This window comes from Homo sapiens, chromosome 16, assembly GCF_000001405.40.
Source record: "Homo sapiens chromosome 16, GRCh38.p14 Primary Assembly".
NCBI classification, from domain to species: Eukaryota; Metazoa; Chordata; class Mammalia; order Primates; family Hominidae; genus Homo; species Homo sapiens.
This window is the reverse complement of record NC_000016.10, coordinates 11,615,948-11,639,164: the sequence shown is the minus strand read 5'-3', so window position 1 is coordinate 11,639,164 and position 23,217 is coordinate 11,615,948. Positions and strand designations below refer to the sequence as shown.

General features: G+C 50.0%; 1 protein-coding gene across 5 annotated transcripts in view, besides 3 other annotated features; it reads left to right on the top strand.

Moving 5' to 3' along the window:
- The window catches only part of LITAF (lipopolysaccharide induced TNF factor), a 92,596-nt gene that overhangs the window by 1,153 nt on the left and 68,226 nt on the right, over positions 1 to 23,217 (top strand). The window contains exons 1-3 of one of the 5 annotated variants that reach the window (XM_047434929.1): positions 2,788 to 2,876; positions 3,212 to 3,340; positions 5,528 to 5,632. In XM_047434929.1, the coding sequence (XP_047290885.1) occupies positions 5,548 to 5,632 (85 nt within the window). In that variant the 5' untranslated portion in view covers positions 2,788 to 2,876; positions 3,212 to 3,340; positions 5,528 to 5,547. Of the gene's footprint in view, positions 1 to 2,787; positions 3,341 to 5,527; positions 5,633 to 23,217 lie in introns of those variants that run through there. The other 4 variants (XM_047434927.1, XM_011522754.4, XM_047434928.1 and 1 more) reach the window with 4 other exon arrangements.
- Positions 11,547 to 12,081: an enhancer, noted in NCBI's record as "H3K27ac-H3K4me1 hESC enhancer chr16:11720940-11721474 (GRCh37/hg19 assembly coordinates)". NCBI's record gives its function as "activates a minimal SCP1, AML or CMV promoter by ChIP-STARR-seq in naive H9 embryonic stem cells {active_cell/tissue: H9 hESC(naive)}" and the evidence as "EXISTENCE:reporter gene assay evidence [ECO:0000049][PMID:30033119]".
- Positions 16,398 to 17,166: an enhancer, noted in NCBI's record as "H3K27ac-H3K4me1 hESC enhancer chr16:11715855-11716623 (GRCh37/hg19 assembly coordinates)". NCBI's record gives its function as "activates a minimal SCP1, AML or CMV promoter by ChIP-STARR-seq in naive and primed H9 embryonic stem cells {active_cell/tissue: H9 hESC(naive and primed)}" and the evidence as "EXISTENCE:reporter gene assay evidence [ECO:0000049][PMID:30033119]".
- Positions 16,660 to 16,949: an enhancer, noted in NCBI's record as "active region_10454". NCBI's record gives its function as "activates an Ori minimal core promoter by ATAC-STARR-seq in GM12878 lymphoblastoid cells {active_cell/tissue: GM12878}" and the evidence as "EXISTENCE:reporter gene assay evidence [ECO:0000049][PMID:35858748]".

Genomic DNA, 23,217 nt, shown 5'->3' with positions numbered 1-23,217 from the left:
CCATCCCTACCTCTGACCATCTATGCATCCATTCCTGTCTCCCTCTAACCATCCCTCTAACCTCTACCCATTTGTTTACTCATCCATCCATCCATCCCTCTATCCCTCTCTCTACCTAACCATTCACCCATGCATCCGTCACTCTACACATCTTACTTTTTGGATGCATTTCACAATAAGTTGTTGACGTCAGTACCCATTTCCTTGAACAATTTGTTACGCGTTTAAATAACTAAAGTTTACTATCCAGAATATTTTTTCAATGCAAAAAAAAAAATACACAGGTTAAAAAGGTAGCCAGCTATGTATATCTAAAATGAGATTGTGGAATTAAAAATACCTGTGATTCCTATTGGAAATCTACTAATATTAACATGAGAATTGCTCCATTAGGAATTAAAGTTAGATGCTAAATTTCCAGGGTTTTTTTTTTTTTTTTTTTTTTTTTTTTTTTTTTTTTTTTGAGACAGAGTCTTGCTCTGTCGGCCCAGGCTGGAGTGCAGAGGCGTGATCTCAGCTCACTGCAACCTCCACCTCCTGGGTTCAAATGATTCTCCTGCCTCAGCCTCCTGAGTAGCTGGAATTACAGACATGCACCACCACGCCCGGCTAATTTTTGTATTTTTAGTAAAGACTGGGTTTCATCATGTTGGTCAGGCTGGTCTTAAACTCCTGATCTCGTGATGCGCCTGCCTCGGCCTCCCAAAGTACTGGGATTATAGGCGTGAGCCACCATACCCAGCTCCAATGTATTTTTTCCCTCTGAGTTTGAGGACACCTACTCAGTTCTTATTTCATAAAACTCAAAGAAATCATGCTGTTACCATGTGAAGGCAAGCACTATCATCAGTGGGAAATACTGAGCACTTGTTATGTGCATTATCTCATTTAATCATCACCCCAAACCTATGGGGAAGTGGACTATTACTGTTCCCATCTTACAGTTGAGAAAACTGAGGCCAGGAGGTGATGTGATGTACTCAGGTTCCTGGCTGGCAGGTGACAGAGCTGGGCTAATCATATCTATCTATCTATCTATCTATCTATATAGATAGATATATATATATAGATAGATAGATAGATATAGATATATATATAGATATATATATAGATATATATATAGATATATATAGATATATAGATATATATAGATATATATAGATATATATAGATATATATAGATATATATAGATATATAGATATATATAGATATATATAGATATATAGATATAGATATAGATATAGATATAGATATATATATATATAGTTTTTTTTTTTTTTTTTGAGGAAGGTTCTCACTCTGTCACCCAGACTAGCATGCAGTGGCACAATCATGGCTCATTGAAGCCTCAAACTCCTAGGGCCAAGTGATGCTCCCACCTCAGCCTCTGGAGTAGCTGGGACTACAGGCACCACCGGCATGCCTGGCTAATTTTTAAATTTTTTGTGGAGACAGGAGCTCCTTATGTTGCCTAGGCTGGTCTTGAACTCCTGGGCTCAAGTGATCCTCCCACCTCAGCTGGGAATATAGGCGTGAGCCGCTGCGTGCAGCCTATGCTGTGAATAGCAGGCTTGTGCACGTGCTGTGTGCCCCTCATGGGCAGGCACTGTGCTGAGTCCTTGGTGGATTGTTTCATTTGCTCCTCACGGCAGTTTTACCAGGCCATAGGTGAGCCCAGGTCCCCAGCTGCCAGCAGCAGAAACAGACTTGGCTGATGTAAGCAGAAGAAGAATTTACAGAAAGAGGACTGAGTAGTTCTGCCCCAGCACTGAAGATGGGATAGAGAGTGAGCCACCAATGAATGCCCAGAACTGGACCACTCTACTGTGGCTCCATTCCCAGGCTGCAAGCCTGGACCCAAGGCAGCCACACTGACCCAAAGAGATGGGCGTTCCTGCCACCTACTGTGAGGCCCCTTCTCCACTTCTCTGTGGTGCTGGTGATACAGGAGATAGAAAGAAATTATTTAGGCAGACCAGGCGCGGTGGCCTGCGCCTATAATCATAGCACTGTGGGAGGCCGAGGTGGGCGAATCACCTGAGATCAGGAGTTTGAGACCAGCCCGGCCAACATGGTGAAACCCCATCTCTACTAAAAATACAAAAATTAGCTGGGCTCACTTTTACAGATGAGCACGCTGGTGGTGTGCGCCTGTAATCCCAGCTACCCAGGAGGCTGAGGCAGGAGAATCACTGGAACCTGGGAGGCGGAGGCTGCAGTGAGCTGAGATTGTGCCACTGCACTCCAGTCTGGGCAACAAAGCTAGACTCCATCTCAAAAAAAAAAAAAGAAAAATAAATTATTTAGGCAGATAGTAAGGGCAACAGAGTCCTCGGTGGAATTTCACTTTTAATAAAAAGTAGCCTCCACATCATTTCTTTTCTGACAAAGAGCAGCCTGGAAAATCGAGCTGCAGACATAGATAAGCAAGCTGGAAGATTGCACAGGTGAATGCCGGCAGCTGTGCCAATAGGAAAAGGCTACCTGAAGGCCAGGTGTGTTCAACACGGGGGCTCTATTTTCCCTTTTCTTTGTCATCGTGTGTACCGTAAAGGAACAGGCAACATTGGCATTGGCCAGGTAGAGAGCTCATCTGCATAATAAAAGATTAGGGTGGGGCAGCCAGCTTCTTCATGCACTATGCAAAAGGTACACCTAGTCCTAACCAGTTCTTCACGTGCTATGCAAATAGCACACCTGGTCTGACCAATCTTCATGCCCTATGTAAATCAGACTCCGCCTTCTCAAGCTCATCTGTAAAACCTTCTGCATTCCACTGCGGAAGCAGTAACCCATTTTCTCTGGGACCCCTTTCTTCGCAGAGAGCGCTTCTCTTTCTTTCGCCTATTACACTTCTGCTCTTAACTTCAGTCTGGTGTGTCCGCATCCTAGTTTTGCATGGCTGTCAGACAACAAATCTCGGGTATTTACCCCAGACAACGACGCTGCTTCACTAGCACCCATTCCATCTGGAGCAAGCACACCTGATTGCCCCAGCCCGGCTCCGAGGAGGCTGGAGAATTGCAAGCCTTCTAAGGAGGGAAATTTCTCCATGCTTGGGATGGAGCTCAGAGCCTGGGTAGCCCCACACAATGTTCGTGCCCAGTACAGATGGCGGTTCTTCTCACCCCCTTTTACAGATGAGCAGACTGAGCCTTGGGGAGGAAAAATAACCCAGCCTGTGATGACCCTAGTGTTTTGTTCTTCCAGACCCTCCAGCCACATCTCCTGTAAATACCCCGTGTCTTTGTGCTACCCAGAGCCCGAGTCTGGCCCCATGTGCCCGTGTAGGTGTGGAACCCTGCCACCTGCGACACAGGTCTTCGAGGAGTCAAAAAGGTACTGGGAGTGTGGCTCAGAAATGCTCCGTATGTCCCACAGAGGAAAGCTTTTAATCCACATGGTCTGGGCTGAGGCGCCGTTGACAAAAAGGGTCCCTGTGGGGACACTGGCCCAGAGGAAGGGAGACAGGTGGGAGCTGTTGCAGTTTGGGCATTTTTCTTCCCCTTGGTCAGAGAGACAGATATGGGGTCAGAGGCTACTGCGGCCCAGGGTCTCATTTCCTCCTTGAAGTGGGCACTTTGGGGATATCTGCAGTCAGGCGGACAGAAACTGGCCTGTGTGTGAGCTGGTGTATTATAACCCGAGAGGTGACAAAGGAGCCTGTTGAAGGACGTGGAAGGCTTCTTGTCCCCATGGCCACTCCCAGGTGTGTCCTGGACAAAGGTGAGCCAGGGTGGAGGGCATAAGGGAGGGGAGAGGGAGAGGAAGCACTGGAACCATCATGAACCAGTACAGGGGTTGGCTCTGGCTGGAGGGCTGGTTGCAGACATCGCCCCAGCGTTGATTGGTATCTACATGCGTGCATGCGTGTGTGTCTATGCAAGCGTTTGCACAATCACTGTGGGTGCATCTGTCTTTATGCTCTGAATGTGCATTTGTGTATCCGTATAACCACCTAATAGATTCTTTTGCCCACTGCCCAGATAGAGCTGATTTATCATGACAGGGGAATTTGCAAGGGAGAAGGAGTTTAATTCACACAGAGCTGGCTGAATAGGAGACTGGAGTTTTATTTTATTTTATTTTATTTTATTTTATTTTATTTTATTTTATTTTATTTTATTTTTGAGATGGAGTCTCACTGTGATGCCCAGGCTGGAGTGCAATGGCGTGATCTCAGCTCTCTGCAACCTCCGCTTCCCGGGTTCAATCGATTCTCCTGCCTCAGCCTCCCAAATAGCTGGGATTATAGGTGCCCACCAACACGCCCAGCTAGTTTTTGCATTTTTAGTAGAGACGGGGTTTCACCAGGTTAGCCAGGCTGGTCCTGAACTCCTCACCTCAAGTGATCTACCGCCTTGGCCTCCCAAAGTGCTGGGATTACAGATGTGAGCCACCATGCCTGGTAGAGACCAGAGTTTTATGACTCAAGTCAGTCTCCCTGAAAATTCAGAGGCTAGGGTTTTTCAAGGATAGTTCGTCTGGCCAGGGAATGGGTGCTGCTGACTGGTTGGGGATGCAATCATAGGGTTATGGAAAATGGTCCTCATGTGCACTGAGTCCTCAGTGGATCGTCAGAAATGCAAAAACCTGAGAAGACGTTTCAAAAGGCCGATCTTAGATTCTACAATAGTGATGTTATCTGCAGGGGCAATAGGGGAAGTTGCAAATCTTGTGGCCTCTGGAATAATGGCTGGTAATCATGTATGTCTACACCTTAGCAGAATTTAGCTTTCTCTCATTCCTTAGCTTCGTAACCTGGTGGCCTTTTGTTACCTTCACAAAGGCGGTTGAGTTTTGGGGAAGGGAATCATTATCATTAAACTGTACACTAAAAACAAAAGTATCACTTAAACTGTAAACTAAATGTTCCCCAGAGTTAGTTTGGCCCAAGTCCAGGAATGATGAAGAGCAGTTTGGAGGTGAAAGGCAAGATGGGGGTTGGTTAGATCAGGTCTCCTTCACTGTCACAATTTTCTGTTATAATTTTTGCAAAGATGGTCTCACCTGTGTGCATGTGTGTATAAGTGCCCATATGAGTCTCTGCACATGTGTATTCATGTCTGTGTGTCCATTTGCATGTGAGTTGTTGAGGTTCTGTATGTCCCTCTGCATGTGTCTGTGTATTGCTAAGTGGCCTTACACATGTCTGCGTGTGTGATGCCACTAATCACAGCAAACATATATGTGGCACTTCCTATGTTCCAGGGTTTGGGTGCTATCCATGCATCAATTCAGTTAATCCTCACAGCAACCCTTTCAGGTGGGTACTACTGTTACCAGAAAGGGGTCCCGATCCAGACTCCAAGAGAGGGTTCTTGGGTCTCGTGCAAGAAAGAATTCAGGGCAAGTCCGTAAAGTGAAAGCAAGTTTATTAGGAAAGAAAAGGAATAAAGAATGGCCACTCCTTAGACAGAGCAGCCCCATGTGAGGACTGCTGGTCGCCCATTTTTAAGGTTATTTCTTGACTATATGCTGAATGAGGGGTGGATTATTCATGCCTCCCCTTTTTGGACCATCTAGGGTAACTTCCTGACGTTGCCATGACATTTGTAAACTGTCATGGTGCTGGTGGGAGTGTAGCAGTGAGGAAGACCAGAGTTCGCCCTCGTCGCCGTCTTGGTTTTGGTGAGTTTTGGCCGGCGTCTTTACTGCAACCTATTTTATCAGCAAAGTATTTAGATCTGTATCTTGTGTTGACCTTTTATCTCATCCCGTGACTTAGAATGCCTAACAGTCTGGAAATGCAGCCCAGTAGGTTTCAGCCTCATTTTACCCAGCCCCTATTCAAGATGGAGTTGCTCTGGTTCAAACCCCTCTGACACTACTATTTGCAAATGAGGTGAGGGAGGCACAGAGAGGTTGAGTAACTTGCCTGAGGTTGCAGAGCTGAGATTGGAGCCCTGGCTGGCTTGCTCCAAGGCAATACTCAGGCTGGGCCACTTCCCTGTTCAGGTGGCCCTGGGCTGCCCCAGGTCCGTGTGGATGGGTGCACCCCTGGGAATATGTCTACCCATCTTGCCTCCAGCGTGATGTGTCTGGTTCCTGTGTGCACGTGTGTTGGGGGATGCACTTATGTGTATGCAGGGGTGACGGGGCTAGAGAGACCTCCTTTCCCAGGCCCCAAAGTAGGGCCTCCAAGAGGGTATCATGGGTGCAGGATCCCAGGCCGTCCTTTCCTATCTAAGACAGCAAATCTCTGGAGTGGCTGCCAGCTCAGCCCTCCCAGCCCCGGGCCTCAGAGCTGGCCTTTGTTTCCTTCACTAGGAGGCTCAGAGTGGGGTGGGCCTCTGTGGAAATTCCTGTGGAATTCCAGGCATTCGGCAGAAGAAGAAGGACGAGGAGGCGGCACACGGAAAACTCTGACCCGTGCGGGGGCTGAGGGCACCACATAGTCATGTGCATGGGGGCTGGACTCTGCGCTCAGAGCCAGCAGAGCCAGTGGCATTTGCAGAACCGAAAGAAGGGCCTGGGTGGCATCTGCCTTGGGCCTGGGGTCCAGCCATCAGTTCTTCCCCTGGCTCTGGCTCGGTGGGGCTTCCTCCAGATGGGGCCAAGGGATCCCACGTGCCAGGGAGCGCAGGCCAAAGAGCCCACAGGGGCCGGCTGGCAGTGATCTGCTCTGGGCCCGCAGAGTCAGGGGTAGCTGTTAGTTCTGAGCTGGGACCTGCGGGAGCTTCCCTGGGTTGCTTCCTCCTTTGTCAACAGGGTTTCCAGCAGACAGTGGAGCATAGTAGCCCTCTCTGTCCCTCTCCCTGTCTCTGTCCCTCTCCCTGTCTCTGTCATCTCGGTGCCTCCTTCACCTTCTCTCCAGGGTTGAGCCAGTCGTCCTCACCTTTCTCAGTCCATGTGGGGAGGGGCCAGCGGATTGCCTAATCCTGTTCCCCACGGCAGCTGTAGTTACTTGATAATGACCCCTCCCCGAAAGACACGTCCACGACGTAACTCCCAGCACTTGTGAAGGTGACCTGATTTGAAAATAGGTTCTTTGCGAGGCCGGGCGCAGTGGCTCACGCCTGTAATCCCAGCACTTTGGGAGGCCGAGGCGGGTGGATCACGAGGTCAGGAGATCAAGACCATCCTGGTTAACACGGTGAAACCCCGTCTCTACTAAAAAGACAAAAAAATTAGCCGGGCGTGGTGGCGCACACCTGTAATCCCAGCTACTCAGGAGGCTGAGGCAGGAGAATAGCTTGAAGCAGGGAGGCAGAGATTGCAGGGAGGCAGAGATTGCAGTGAGCTGAGATTGTGCTGTTGCACTCCAGCCTGTAGACAGAGCAAGACTCCGTCTCAAAAAAAAAAAAAAAGAAAAGAAAAGAAAATAGGGTCTTTGCAGATGTCATCAAGTTAAGAATCTCGAGATGAGATCATCCTGGATTTAGGGTGGGTTCTAAACCCAATGACGGGTGTCTGTGTAAGCAAGACATGGAGCTTGAAGCCACAGACACCGGAGAGAAGGCGTCCGTGTGGTGACTGGGCACCATGGCTCACGCCTGTAATCCCAGCACTTTGGGAGGTTGAGGAGGGTGAATCCTTTGAGCCCAGGAATTCGCGACCAGACTGGGCAACGTAGTGAAACCCTGTCTCTACCAAAAATATGAAAAACTTAGCCAGCTGTGTGGCATGTGCCTGTAGTCCTGGCTACTTAGAAGGCTGAGGATCACCTAAGCTCGGGAGGTTGTGGCTGTAGTGAGCTATGTTCACGCCACTGCACTCCAGCCTGGGCAACAGAGTGAGACCCTGTCTCAACAACAACAACAAAAAGCCATGTGCAGAGTGTTGCAGCCCCCAGCCCCGGGATGCCTGGAGCCACCAGAAGCTGAAAGAAGCAAGAGAGGACCCTCCCTAGATCCTCCAGGGGGAGGTGGTCCTGATGACATTTTGATTTCAAGCTTTTAGACTCTAGAACAGAGAATACATTGCTGTTTTAAGCGCCTCAGTTTGTGGTGATGTGATAATTGCAGCCACAGGACACCGATAGCTCACTTGTAAGCAGCTTCTCCTGCAGTGCACTTACCCCATGGCGACCTGGTTATTTATTTTCTGCAGCCCTGAGTCCAAATCCCAAGTCCACCACACGCTATGGGCAGGTGACTTTAACCTTGTTAAGCCTCGGTTTCTGCAAATGTAAACAGGGAAAATAATATCAAAAATAAGCAGACAGTGCTTAGATGAGTTGGGTGCAAACAGAAATGACTGCTGTTATCGTGGCTACTGCTATGCATGGGAGGCTACCTCTTGTCCATGCATCAAAGGTAATGGCAGGCCGGGCACCGTGGCCCATGCCTGTGATCTTAGCACTTTGGGAGGCTGAGGCGGGAGGATCATTTTGAGGCCAGGAGTTCAAGACCAGCCTGGCCAACATAGTGAGACCACCCCGACCCCTGTCTCTAGAAAAAAAATAAAATAAAAACATTATCTGGACGTGGTGGTGGGTGCCTGTAGTCCCAGCTATCTAGGAAGCTGAGGTGGGAGGATTGTTTGAGCCCAGGAGTTTGAGGCTGCAGTGAGCTTTGATCTCACCACTGCACTCCAGCCTAGGTGACAGAATGAGACCCTGTCTCACCACCAAAAAAAAAAAAAAAAAAAAGTTGGCCAGGGGCAGGTAGGGGAAGGCACTGCCGCCAGAGAGACCTGAAGCTGTGGAGCAACAGGGACTCCTGTGTGCCTGGAGCAGGCGGGGCACAGGAGGAGGGTTGTGTGGTTTGCAATGAGGCCCAAGAGGTGTCCCCGCCAGAGCAGGGCCTGCGGGAGGCTGGGATTTGTCATCAGGGCTTTAGGACATCATTGGCGAGTTTAAAGCAGTTTCAAAGTAGCACTGTGGCCAAGGCCAGACTGCGGGCACCTCCTGCCAAGTTGCTCCTCAGAGAGGACCCAGCTTTGTGCCCCAAACCAATCGATCAGTCATGCCAGCTGGGGGTACTTTTCCATCCATAGGGGCTGAGGCTAGGAGGGGAAGTTGGGGAAGCCAGGACTCCCAAACACAGAGGTTTGGAGCCCCCCCAACGCCAGGGGTCTGGTTCCTATCTGGACTCCCATGACCTCCGTTCTTCCGGGGTCCTGTGTGCCCGCCTTGCACTTGATGAGAAGGAGCAAAACCTGACCCAGATAGAAGTGCGCTGAGCACCTGTGGGTGCTGGAATGAGTCCAGGAAGGCACCCGAACTCCTTCTCTTCCCTCCCCAACACCTGGCGACTGATGTTAAATCTCCCACCGTAGCAGCCAGGCCTGTGACACTTGGAGATGTTTGCAGAGCCATGATTTGTTGAGCACTTGCCATGCGCCAGGCTGTGGGGGGAAGAGCGCCTACCACATGGCCTTGTTAATCCGTACCGCACTCCATGAGCTGCGCGCCCCTGGAGCTCCACGCTGGAGACTTGAGTCAACCCAGAATCATGATTCGAAACTGGCTGCCTCTGCCTCCGAAGCCCTGGGCCCTCAAGCACTGAGCTCAGCAGTGTCTGTTTAATTCTTCCCACCCCAGCTGCAACCAGTCCATGAGCTCCTTCCCCAAAAGCAGGTGTGCAGCCAAGAAGAGGAAGGAAGGAGCCGGCTGCTTCGAGTGTGGCCGCTGACTGCTCACAGCTGTGTTTCCCACCCCTCACCCACCCTTCTTGGCAGCCCAGAGGGACCCCAGAAGGACCGACTGGCCGAGGACAGGTCCTCAGCAGGGCCCCCTTGCCTCCTGGTGGGACTGACTCAGAAAACTCTTACTTCAGGCCTGCCTTGGGATCAGGCCTCCAGCTGGGACCTGTCTGCTGTTCTTCCTCCTGCACCTTGTCTCCTTACTCCCCTCTTCTGAGAACCCTCACTTCTAGAAAACCACATGCACCCACATCTCCATCACAGGCTCTGCTTCTACGGAACCTCAACTAGGATGAGGTCATGTCTGACTTCCCGGCTGAGTGCCTTCCCCAAAGTCCTCGGTGTCCTGCGGACAGAGGCTCCTTCCCTGCGCTCAGCCTTCTGAGCCTTCCTCATCTGATGCCTGTTAGGCTCCCTTTGCTGCTGAGGTCCTGGGTGCCATCCCAGCACTTGGTAAGAGGGGGCAAGCCTGAGTGCCGTGGCTTATGCCTGTAATCCCAGCACTTCGGAAGGGCGAGGCGGGAGGATTACTTGAGGCCAGGAGTTCAAGGCCAGCCTGGGCAACATAGTGAGATGCCAGTCTCTAAAAAAACTAAAATAGGCTGGGAGCAATGGCTCACGCCTATAATCCCAGCACTTTGGGAGGCCAAGGCGGGCAGATCACTTGAGGTCAGGAGTTCGAGACCAGCCTGGCCAATATGGCGAAACTCCATCTCTACTAAAATACAAAAATTAGCTGGGCATGGTGGTGTGCGCCTGAAATCCCAGCTACTAGGAATGCTGAGGCAGGAGGATCACTGGAACCCGGGAGATGGAGGTTGCAGTGAGCTGAGAACACGCCACTGTACTCCAGCCTGGATGACAGAGCAAGACTCAGTTTCAAAAAAAAAAAGAAAAGAAAAAATATTAGCCAGCCGTGGTGGCACACACCTGTAATCCCAGCTACTTGGAGGCTAAGGCGGGAAGATCCCTTGACCCTAGGAGTTTGAGGCTGAAGTGAGCTATGATCGTGCCACTGCACTCCAGCCCGGGCAACAGAGCAAGATCTTGACTAAAAGAAACAAAAAAATAAAAAAATAGAAAGGGTCAAGACCAACTTTGTTTTTTCCCTTTCATTGGATACTTTCGGTAAAAGCAAGATCTCCGGATGTCTCCTTGTGCTCTGAGAGCATCTACTGGGTGTTGATCTGGGTTGGGCGTTCTGCAAAGCGTTTACTTGGAACTCTAGAAAGAGTTCCCAGGACTCTTAGCTGGAAGAGAAAGGAGAGGAGACACGCAAACATGGAAAATCTGGGGCGGCCCCAAGTTTAGCGAGTTATCTGGGGCCACACCAACCTCAGGGCTGGTTGGGGCTGGGATGAGTCATGGCTGTTGGGCAGGATTACCTGCTTGAGAAACGAACCAGGTCTTATTTGGGTATTGATTCATTACCACAGAATGGGAAATATTTTTCCCTTCCTGTGAATCTTTCAAGGAGCAAATGTGTCTTTGTGTTCTGCAGGACTGTGCTTGTCTTGGGCCAATGGAGAATTACAGGCCTTGTTTTTTTTTTTTTTTTTTTTTTTTGACAGAGTCTCACTCTGTCGCTCAGGCTGGAGTGCAGTGACGCAATCTCACTGCAACCTCCGCCTCCTGGGTTCAAATGATTTTCCTGCCTCGGCCTCCCGAGTAGCTGGGACTACAGATGTGTGGTACCACGCCCGGCTAATTTTTGTATTTTTATTTATTTTTTGATATTGAGTCTTGCTCTGTTACCCAGGCTGGAGCACAGTGGCACAATCTCGGCTCACTGCAACCTCTGCCTCCCGGATGCAAGCCATTCTCCTGCGTCAGCCTCCAGAGTAGCTGGGGCTACAGGCGTGCACCACCACACCTGGCTAATTTTTGTATTTTTAGTAGAGATGGGGTTTTGCCATGTCGGCCAGGCTGGTCTCGAACTGCTGACCTCAGGTGATCTGCCCACCTCGGCCTTCCAAAATGCTGGGATTACAGGCGTGAGCCGCCACTCCCAGGCCTTGTATTTTTTTAAGTCTAATACATTAGTCAGGATGAATAGCAGAATGCTGCAAAAACCAGAATCCCACTGGAACTGGTTTATGCCATTGCAGAATGTATTGTGTCACTGGGAAGTGGGGAGGGCAAGAGCTTCAGGCCTGGCTGGATCCAGAAGCTCAGACCATGCTGTCAGGGATCTGTCTCCAACTCCAAGCCTGGCTGTTCTCTGTGTTGGCTTCATTCTCCAGTGGGCTTGCTCTACCTGCTGGCAAAGATGGTGCTGGGCAGCTCCGGGTTTTCATCTCACCAGCCTTGTAAAGAATTCGTCTTATTCAAGGAGCTCCAGCAAGGGTCTTGGGGTTGATTGTCATTGGCTTGGCTTGGGTCACATGCCCATTACTGGAGCAATCACTGAGGCTCAGGAGATGCTGGGTAGCCACTGGCCAGGCTTGGTCATGTGCATGACACAGCCCCTGGGGCTAGGAAGGAGGGACGCGTCTGCAGCAAAGGTAAGAGAGGCCGTCCACACCCGGGTTCCTAGGGGGATGGGATCAGACTGGAAGAAGCTTGTTTAGCCAGGCATGGTGGTGCGTGCCTGTAGTCTCAGCCACTTGGGAGGCTGCGGTGGGAGGATCACCTGAGCCCGGGAGGTAGAGGCTGCAGTGAGCCAAGATCGTGCCACTGCACTCCATCCTGAGCGACAGAGACTCCATTTCAAAAAAAAACAAAAAAAAGAAGAAATAAATTTTCACCAGTAGCACATTAAATAAAAATATAGTGGACCTAGTAGAGCTTGAAATGTTTTAAAAGGCCGGGCAAGGTGGCTCACGCCTGTAATCCTAGCACTTTGGGAGGCCAAGGTGGGCGGATCACCTGAGGGTGGGAGTTCGAGACCAGCCTGGCCAACATGGTAAAACCCCGTCTCTACTAAAAAAAAATTACAGGCTGGGCGCGGTGGCTCACGCCTGTAATCCCAGCACTTTGGGAGGCCGAGGCCAGCAGATCATGAGGTCAGGAGTTGGAGACCAGCCTGGCCAATATGGTGAAATTGGTCTCTACAAATACAAAAATTAACCAGGCATGGTGATGCCTGCCTGTAGTCCCAGCTAGTCAGGAGGCTGAGGCAGAAGAATCCCTTGAACCCAGGAGGCAGAGGTTGCAGTGAGCTGAGATTGCACCACTGCACTCCAGCCTGGGCAACAGAGCAAGACTGTCTTAAAAAAAAATTACAAAAATTAGCAGAGCATGGTGGTATGAGCCTGTAGTCCCAGCTGCTTGGGAGGCTGAGGCAGGAGAATTGCCTGAACCTGGGAGGCAGAGGTTGCAGTGAGCTGAGATTGTACCACTGCACTCCAGCAAGACTCTGACTCACTGTATAAAAAGAAGTTTTTTTTTTTGTTCGTTTTGTTTTTTTAAAGTAAAGTAGTGGGATCTTTCTCACAAACATAGGGGAACTAATTCATACCATTTATTGGAACAAGTCCTAAATTCTGGAACTTTCATCAATCAGCCCAGTCTCTGGAACTCCTGAGAAATTTACTAAGCGCATGGGATCTGGAATTGACTCCCAGGTTCAAATCCTGGTTCTGCCACTGTTCAGCTGTGTGGCCTTAGGCAGGTCACCCAACCTCTCTGTGCTTCCATTTCCTCATGGGCACTGGGGTCATGAGGTTTTCTGCCTCGTAGGACCATTGTGAGGATCAGATGAGGCTCCAAGAGCTTAGGGGGACTTGTCTGTGTCTCAGGGCTGGAGTTAGAACTAGCCTGGCTGACTCCAAGTTCTGGGCTCTTTCTGTCTCCAGCGCGGGCACACAGCAGGGACTCACTGACTGTAAAATGAATGAATAAATGAAAGATTAAAAGGGAAGGTTGATCTCTTTCTGCTCTGATTTCTGTCACTGCATTCCTTCAGCACACAACCTAGGGGAACTCAGGGTTTCTTAAGAAGCCTGTCTTAGACTTGGTTCCCCCAGAGGCTGATGCTGAGACAGAAATTTGGGTGCAAGTAATTTATCTGGAGCCAGGCACAGTGGCTCACACCTGTAATCTCAGCACTTTGGGAGGCGGAGATGGGCAGATTGCTTGAGCCCAGGAGTTGGAGACCAGCCTAGGCAACATGGCGAAACCCTGTCTCCACTAAAAATGCGTAAATGAGCCTGGCATGGTGGTACGTGCCTGTAGTCCCAGCTACTCAGGAGGCTGATGTGGGAGGATTGCTTAAGCCTAGGAGGCAGAGGCTGCAGTGAGCCGAGATCGCACTACTGCATTCCAGCCTGGGTGACAGAGCGAGACCCTGTCTCAAAAAAAAAAAAAAAGGTTTTTGGGAGGTGATCTCGGGAGACACCACCCACCATCACACCGGACCACAGTGACCTTCAGAGAGTCACGGCCACTGCTTTGTCTCCACTCTCCAAATTTCACTCATGTTCCTCTTTTGGTCATCTCTAACCAGAACCACATGGGGAGGAAATTCTGGGAAATTGAGTTCTCAGCTTCAATGAGTTGGCACAGCACAGTTCACCCAGCAGTTTGTCTCACCTTCCTGGGTCCTCCAGTCCAGAGCTGGTTGGTTGGGGCACCTTGGGTCTCCTTCACGTGACCTCTCACCCTCCTGGGGGCTGTTTGCCTTCTTATGGGGTAGTCTTATCGGGCAGTCTCAGGCAGCACGCCAGGAGGGTCAGAGTGGAAACTAAGCCTCTTAAGTCTTAGCCTCAAAATTTGTAGAGTCACTTCTACCATATTCTATTGGTCAAAGCAAGTCTCGAGGCCACCCAGATTTGAGGGGTAAGGAAATAGACTCTACCTCTTGACAGGAAGAGTTGCAAAATACTGCGACCATGTTTTTCATTTTCAGTCGATCACACTTCCCTTCCTGAAGATGTTTAACTGCAGTCTGTTGGAAATTTATCATGATAAATCTGTAAACATAGGGTGATAGTGAATATAAATGGAGACCCTGTAGAGATGTGCAGTGCACAACCTGTGCAACTGTCACGGCAGCCTTGCTGTGCAAGATGTCATAGAACTCACCTATTCTTCTCACATGCCCCACTGTGGTAGGCATTTGTTATTTTTGAATGTCAGCATCTAGGGCTCCTTCTGAGGATAGTAACTACCTATTTCCATTTCTATTCTAGTGAGGCTGACAGTCTCAGACTCCAGGGAGGGGCTTGTTATCATGAATTCTATTGCTGTAACCATAGAGATTGACCAGAGGATGGGCACGTGACCCACACCGGACCAGTGAGATTCAACCGTGGGAGTTTAGCTGGAACTATTGGAAAATATTCTCTTTCCACCAAAAATGTTTAGTTGGTTGGGGATAAGGCTGGAACTGCTGGGGGCCCTCTTTACCCCTCTGAGGGAAAGGCCTACCTGATAATGAATGATACAATCACAGAGGAGAGCAGAGGCAAGAGACGGAGAGAGAGAAATTATTTATTTATTTATTTATTTTTGGTAGAAATGGGGTCTTACTATGTTGCCCAGGCTGGTCTTGATCTCCTGAGCTTAAGTGATCCTCCTGCCTTGGCCTCCCAAAGTACTGGGATTACAAGTGTGAGCCATCACATCTGGCCAAGAGAGTGATTCTTCTTTTAAAAAAATTTTTTTTGAGATGGAGTTTTGCTCTTGTCACCCAGGCTGGAGTGCAATGGCACGATCTTGGCTCATTGCAACCTCTGCCTCCCGGGCTCAAGAGATTCTCCTGCCTCAGCCTCCCAAGTAGCTGGGATTACAGGCGCCTGCCACCATGCCCAGGTAATTTTTGTATTTTTAGTAGAGACGGGGTTTCACCGTGTTGGCCAGGCTGGTCTCGAACTCCTGACCTCAGGTAATCTGCCCACCTCGACCTTCCAAAGTCCTGGGATTACAGGGGTGAGCCACCATACTTGGCCAAGAGAGAGATCCTTTTTTTTTTTTGAGACAAAGTTTCGCTCTGTCACCCAGGCTAGAGTGCAAGGTTGTGATCTCAGCTCACCACAACCTCTGCCTCCTGGGTTCAAGCGATTCTCCTGCCTTAGCCTCCTGAGTAGCTGAGACTACAGTCATGCGCCACCTTGCCTGGCTAATTTTTGTATCTTTAGTAGAGATGGGGTTTCACCATGCTGGCCGGGCTGGTTTCGAACTCCTGACCTCGTAATCTGTCCGCCTCGGCCTCCCAAAGTGCTGGGGTTACAGGTGTGAGCCACCACGCCCAGCCTGAGAGATTCTTGATGATGGCATTTGTGCTCCTGGATTCAGCCATGCCTGAAGTCCTTACCACAGACTTTCCAACTATATGAGCAAATAAATTCCCTTTGCTATCTAAAAAATATATTCGGCCGGGCGCGGTGGCTCATGCCTGTAATCCCAGCACTTTGGGAGGCTGAGGCAGGTGGATCACAAGGTCAGGAGATCGAGACCATCCTGGCTAACACAGTGAAACCCGTCTCTACTAAAAATACAAAAATTAGCCGGGCGTGGTGGTGGGCGCCTGTAGTCCCAGCTACTCAGTTGACTGAGGCAAAAGAATGACATGAACCCAGGAGGCGGAGCTTGCAGTGAGCCGAGATCACGCCACTGCACCAGCCTGGGCGACAGAGCGAGACTCTGTTTCAAAAAAAAAATTATATATATATATATATATATATATTCATTATATGAAACTATACAACTAATTGGGTCATGATGACGATTAAATGAACTAATGATATACGAAATACCTGTTTCACAGAGGCCCATGAAAGGTCTGTTCTCAGAAATTTCTTTCCCTTCAGTGAATGTAGCTCCAACTTAACATCCACTAAGCATATTCCACAGTTTAGAGCAGGCATGGGTGGGTTTAGGTGGTTCAGAACAATAAACACACAGAACTGAAATTTCACATCACCACCTACCCCTCCAGTATCCTTCACGACACCTTGTATTCTTAATTTACATTCTGAAAAGACAGCAGAAAAGCAATGGCTTTAAATAACCCTGTTAAACGGTGCAAAAGCAATCTCGAGAGACACCGTTTTTGTTTTCTCTGCAAGAGGAAAGAAGGGGGTTGTGTAGGGAGGTGGAAATCTGCACAGACAGCCTCCTCCATCTGCACAGAATTAAAATGAAGTTCACAAGTGTGCGGTCTGCAAGTGGCTCTCCCGTGATTGCTGCCTCTTCCCGGGGGCTCTCCAGCCATCCGGGGTTTGTTTTTCCTGGGCCTGAGCTCAGATGTCAGGCAGGCAGAGGGGTCTTGGGATATCTCCCCACCCAGGGAGCAGGGGGAGGCCGCAGGCGGCTTGGGGTCTGTGTGTTTGGGAAAGCGTTCAGGCTGTTTACTCTGGGTCTCTTGACAGCCCGAGGGTGGCCGTGCCAGGCGGTCCAGATGCTTCCAGCTGGGGTCTCATGAGCAAGCCATGCCGCCTGGCTTATGGTGGCACCTCCTCTGAGCTGTCCCCACCAGGCTGCCAGGGCGGGTCCCCCAAACACACTCTCTAACCACATCCCCACTGCCTCCACCCTCATCAGCCACCGACAGCTCTGAACTGGGAAGGCCAAGGGCTGGAGCGGGCCTGCAGACGTGTTTTGTTTCATTTTGTTTTGCATTGTTTAATTTGAGCTGGCAATGAACCCTCAGAAGGTTTCACGAGAAACTTTGGATCTTGGTTTCTTTTGAAAAAAATGGGAAGGTCTTGCCTTCCCACCCAGAAGAAATGGGCTGCAGCAACGTAGGAGCTGGTTTCTTATCTTAGTTTGCATTGCCCCGGAGCTCTGAGAGCAGGATCTTAGGATCTGGGTGCCAGTGGTTTACTAGGGAGGGGATCTCAGGAAGCACAAGCAGTTGGGAAGAGAGTCGGGGCAGGGAAAGAATCAACACACACTACAAGGTGTCAGGGAGCCGGCCACTCTTGTGGGCACCTGGGGCTGCATCCTGCCGGGGAATTCAGGGGAGCTGTGTAGAACGTGGGTTGTGCTTCCTGAGGGGCAAGGGGGCTGGGATGTTCCCTTCTGACTCCTGTCTATCCTTGATGGAGGCCTGCTTCTGAGGGGGGTTAATACCAGTCTGTTCTGCACATAGGCCAAGAAGAAAACTTCAAGTAGAAAGTCATGGGTGGGCCAGGAGCGGTGGCTCATGCCTGTAATCCCAGCACTTTGGGAGGCTGAGGCAGAAGGATGGCTAGAACCCAGGAGTTAAAGACCAGCCTGGGCTACATAGCAAGACCCCATCTCTGCAAAACATATAAAAATTGGCTGGGGCTGGGTGCAGTGGCTCATGCCTATAATCCCAGCACTTTGGGAGGCCGAGGTGGGCAGATCACCTGAGGTCGGGAGTTCGAGACCAGCCTGACCAACATGGAGAAATCCTGTCCCTACTAAAAATACAAAATTAGTTGGGCGTGGTGGCACATGCCTATAATCCCAGCTACTCTGGAGGCTAAGGCAGGAGAATCACTTGAACCTGGGAGGCGGAGGTTGCGGTGAGCCGAGATCGCGCACTGCCATTGCACTCCAGGCTGGGCAACAAGAGCGAAACTCCATCTCAAAAAAAAAAAAAATTAACTGGGTGTGGTGGAGTGCGCCTGTAGTCCCAGCTACTCAGGAGACTGAGGTGGCAGGATCACCTGAGCCCAGAAAGTTGAGGCTGCAGTAAGCCATGATGGCACCACTGCACTCCAGCCTGGGCAACAGAGCGAGACCATCTCAAAATAGAAAGTCACAAATGGCGAGCCCAGTGTGCAGTGTTGACATGTCCTGGAGCAGCAGCTGCTGAGGGAGATGTGGGCAGGGCCATGACAGTGCCCGCTGCACCTGTTACATGGGGCCTTGCCCTTCAGTTTGTCACAGTCCCCACCACTCCCTATTGTCTGTCTCCCTGACCACAGGCTGAGAATAAGTTCCTAATATCATCATACTTGTGCTGCTGATTCTTTCACAGAATAGAAATGACCTATTTTTTCCATATCACCTTCAATAGTGGGAAAGTGGGCTGGCCACAGTGGCTCACGTCTGTAATCCCAGTGCTTTGGGAGGCTGTTTTAGGCATTCTTGCATTGCTGTAAAAACATACCTGTGACTGGGTAATTTATAAAGAAATGAGGTTTACTGGGCTCATGGTTCTGCAGGCTGTACAGGAAGTATGGTGCTGGCATCTGTTCAGCTTCTGGGGAGGCCTCAGGAAGCTTATAGTCATGGTGGAAGGCGAAGGGGGAACAGGCATGTCCCACGGCGAAAACAGGAGCAAGAGATAGTGTTGGGAGGAGGGCCACAGTCTTTTAAACAATCAGATCTCCCATGAACTCAGAGTGAGAGCTCACTCATCAGCAAGGGGATGGCCCAAGCCAATCATGGGGGATCCGCTTCCATGATCCAAACACCTCCCACCAGGCCCCACCTCCAACATTGTGGAGGATTACTTTTCTTTTTCTTTTCTTTTCTTTTTTTTTTTTTTTTGAGACGGACTCTCACTCTGTCCTCTAGGCTGGAGTGCAGTGGTGCCATCTCGGCTCTCTGCAGCCTCTGCCTCCCAGGTTCCAGCAATCTCCCTGCCTCAGCCTCCCAAGTAGCTGGGATTACAGGCACCCGCCACCACACCTGGCTAATTTTTGTATTTTTAGTAGAGATAGGGTTTCACCATATTGGCCAGGCTGGTCTCCAACTCCTGACCTCAGGTGATCCACTGCTCTCGGCCTCCCAAAGTGCTGGGATTACAGGCATGAGCCACTGCACCCGTCCGCAGATTACATTTCAACGTGAGATGTGGTCTGGGACAAATATTCAAACTATATCAGAGGCCAAGGTGGGAGGATCGCTTGAGGCCAGGAGTTGAAGACCAGCCTGGGCAACATAGCAGGATGACGCCTCTACAAAAGAAAAATTTTAAAAAATTAACCAGATGTGGTGGCATGCACCTGTGGTTCCAGCTGCTCAGGAAGCTGAGGCAGGATGGTGGTTTGAGCCCAGGAAGTCAACACTGCAGTGAGCTATGATCATACCACTGCACTCCAGCCTGGTCAATAGACTGAGACTGTCTCCAAAAAAAAAAACAAAAACAAAGTGGGAAAGTAGAATATAAGCCAAGAATGCCCTGTGGCTGTAATAATTATACTCAGCTTGCTTCTCCTGTTTCTGTCTCTTGCATGACCCCTGAAGAGGGCTGAGTTGGCAGCTTCTTGCCACAGGGTGAAGTGCACATGGGTCACATGACATTTGGGGCCTTTGGGGCACTGGTCTTTGCCTCATCATGCCATGTGGAGATGTGTCCTCTGAGCCCAGCAGTGCTGGGGTTTTTTTTTTTGTTTTTTGTTTTTGAGACGAAGTCTTGCTTTGTCACCCAGTCTGGAGTACAGTGATGTGATCTCGGCTCACTGCAACCTCTTCCTCCCAGGTTCAAACGACTCTCCTCCCTCAGCATCCCAAGTAGCTGGGATTACAGGCAAGCGCCACCACACCAAGCTAAATTTTGTATTTTTAGTAGAGAAGGGGTTTTGCCATGTTGGCCAGGCTGGTCTCGAACTCCTGACCTCAAGTGACCTGCCTGCCTTGGCCTCCCAAAGTGCTGGGATTACAGGCGTAAGCCACCGTGCCCGGGCAGTGCTGGGGTTTTTTTTGTTTGTTTGTTTGTTTTGTTTTTTTTTTAAGACCGAGTCTAGCTCTGTTGCCCAGGCTGGAGTGCAGTGGCGTAATCTCGGCTCACTGCAACCTCCACCTCCCAGGTTCACGCGATTCTCCTGCCTCAGCCTCCTGAGTAGCTGGGATTACAGGCACCCACCACCACGCCCGGCTAACTTTCGTATTTTTAGTAGAGACAGGGTTTCACCATGTTAGCCAGGCTGAACTCGAACTCCTGACCTCGTGATCCGCCCGCCTCGGTCTCCTAAAGTGCTGGGATTACAGGTGTGAGCCCCCGCGGCCGGCCAGTGCGGGGGTTTTTAATTTGCAGCTCTATGAAGCGCCCCCTCCCCACCCCCAGAAATGCTCCACCCACTGGGAGGCGGGGACAATGGCCAGTGGCTCCATGGCCAGAGAGAAACTATCTTGCTATTAGCCCATCGCACACAGCGAAAGCCCGGGGAGCCCATCAAGCACGCTCTCCAGATTCTCTGACACCAGCTGCATGGCCAGCAATTCAATTCAGTTCCGACAGAAGCTGCCCACAGTTAGTGCAGACTGCACGGTCAAAGGACTCAGTCCCACAGGACTGCTCCCACTTCAGACACCAGTGCAAATGGCGTCCCCAGGCTACCCCTACTTCTGCCTGGCTGATTACAAATTCAGGGCTCTCCTCCCGCCTTGCCAGGGGAGGCACCTGCTAGACTAGTATTTCTGCCTGCAATCTAGACCAGCACAGTGGCAGAACGGAATGTCTCTTCCAAGGGGGAAAAGTTTGGGCATAAATGGAGAGAAGAAACAAAAATAGCTGGAGGTAAAAGACAGAATAAATAAATGGGTTATGGCCAGGTGCAGTGGCTCACGCCTGTAATCCCAGTAGCTGACTGGGGAGGATCACTTGAGCCCAGGAGTTTGAGACCAGCTTGGGCAACATAGTGAGACCCCATCTCTTCGAACAAAAAAATTTTTTTGGAAGCTGGTTGTGGTGGCATGCACCTGTAGTCCCAGCTGCTTGGGAGGCTGAGGTGGGAGGATCGTTTGATCTCAGGGGGTTGAGGCTGCAGTGAGCTATGTTCGAGCTGCTACATTCCAGCCTGTGTGACAGAGTGAGACCCTGTCTCAAATACATAAAATGAATAAATGAATGAATGAATAAATAAATAAATAGGTTACGGAGGGAAGGAAATTTAATATTACATTAACACCTTCAAAGAGGCTTAGATCAAGAGATGGCGTTGTCCCTTGGCTCAGTTATACCAGATGCCTGAAAGATTGAAACCATATAGGCCAGGCACGGTGACTCACCCCTGTAATCCCAGCATTTTGGGAGGCCGAGGCGGGCGGATGACAAGGTCAGGAGTTCGAGACCAGTCTGGCCAATATGGTGAAACCCCGTCTCTACTAAAAATACAAAAATTAGCTGGGCGTGGTGGTGTGAGCCTGTAGTCCCAGCTACTTGGGAGGCTGAGGCAAGAGAATCCCTTGAACCCGGGAGGCAGAAGTTGCAGTGAGTTGTGCCACTCCACTCCAGCCTGGGCAACAGAGCAAGGCTCCGACTCAAAAAAAAAAAAAAAAAAAAAAAAGAGTGAAGCCATATATTGATATATTGCTGGGACTGCCCCTGCTTTCAGAACTTGATAAGACAGAATGGAAGCCTGCAAGCCTGGGCAGCCTTACCCTGGGGGACATTTTCATACATTTCATGGGATGGCGGACTGTATCGTTATTAAGGACTGATGGATTTTAGCAATGTGCTGGCATCTTTTTTATTTCTATTTATTTATTTTTTTGAGTTGGAGTCTCGCTCTGTCACCCAGGTTGAAGTGTATTCGTGTGAGCTCGGCTCACTGCAACTACTGCCTCCCGGGTTCAAGCGATCCTCCTGCCTCAGCCTCTCAAGTAGCTGGGACCACAGGCTTGCACCACCACGCCTGGCAAATTTTTGTATTTTTAGTAGAGATGGGGTTTCACCATGTTGACCAGGCTGGTCTCGAACTCCTGACCTCAGGTGATCTGCCTGCCTCGGCCTCCCAAAGTGTTGGGATTACAGATGTGAGCCACTGCGCCCTGCTGGCATCTTTTTTTTTTTTTTTTTTTTGAGATAGAGTCTTGCTCTCTTTCCCAGGTTGGAGTTAAGTAGCTCAGTCACAGCTCACTGCAGCCTCAACCTCTTGGGCTCAGGTGATCCTCCTGCCTCAGCCTCCTGAGTAGTTGGGACCACACGTGTGCACCACTATGCCCGGTAAATTTTTAAGAATTTTTGTAGAGATGGGGTCTTCCTATGTTGCCCACTCCGGGCATCTTTTGATGTTTATGATCATCTGACTGTAAGGGATTTGTGTTCAAAGGCCAGAGGGTAGCCTGTGATATTGTGATACAATAGGAAATATGTATTTGGTCTTTGCCTCACGTACCTGACAGAGCTTCTAAGGTCCTCGTAATTTCCTGAGTGGCAAAGATGAGAGGTACATCTTTTGTTATTCATCATAAGCCCCTTTCTTTTTCTTTTTTTTTTTCTTGTTTTGTTTTGTTGAGACAGGGTCTCACCCTGTCACCCATGGCTGGAGTGCAGTGGCACAATCGTAGCTCACTGCAGCCTCAACCTCCTAGCCTCAAGCAATCCTCCCACCTCAGCCTTCTGAGTAGCTGGGAACACAGTCACGTGCTACCATGCCTGGCTAATTTAATAAAAAATTTTTTTAGAGATGGGGTCTTGCCATGTTGCCCAGGCTGGTCTCAAATCCCTGGCTTCAAGGGATCTGCCTGCTTCAGCCTCCCAAAACATTGGGATTCCAGGTGGGAGCCACGGTGTCCAGCACTATTCCAGTTTATTATAAAAGATACAAACAGCCAGATGCACAGGAGCATAGGGTGGGGTCTGGAAGGGCCCTGAATGTAGGGCCACTGTCCCCGTGGAGTTGGGGTGCCCCACCTCCCAGGTAGTGGATGTATTTGGCAACCTGAACGCTCCCAGAAACCTATCTAGTGGTTCTTATCAAGGTTTCGTGACGTAGGCATAATTGATTAAATCATGGCCATTGGTGATTGGACCCAACTCCTAG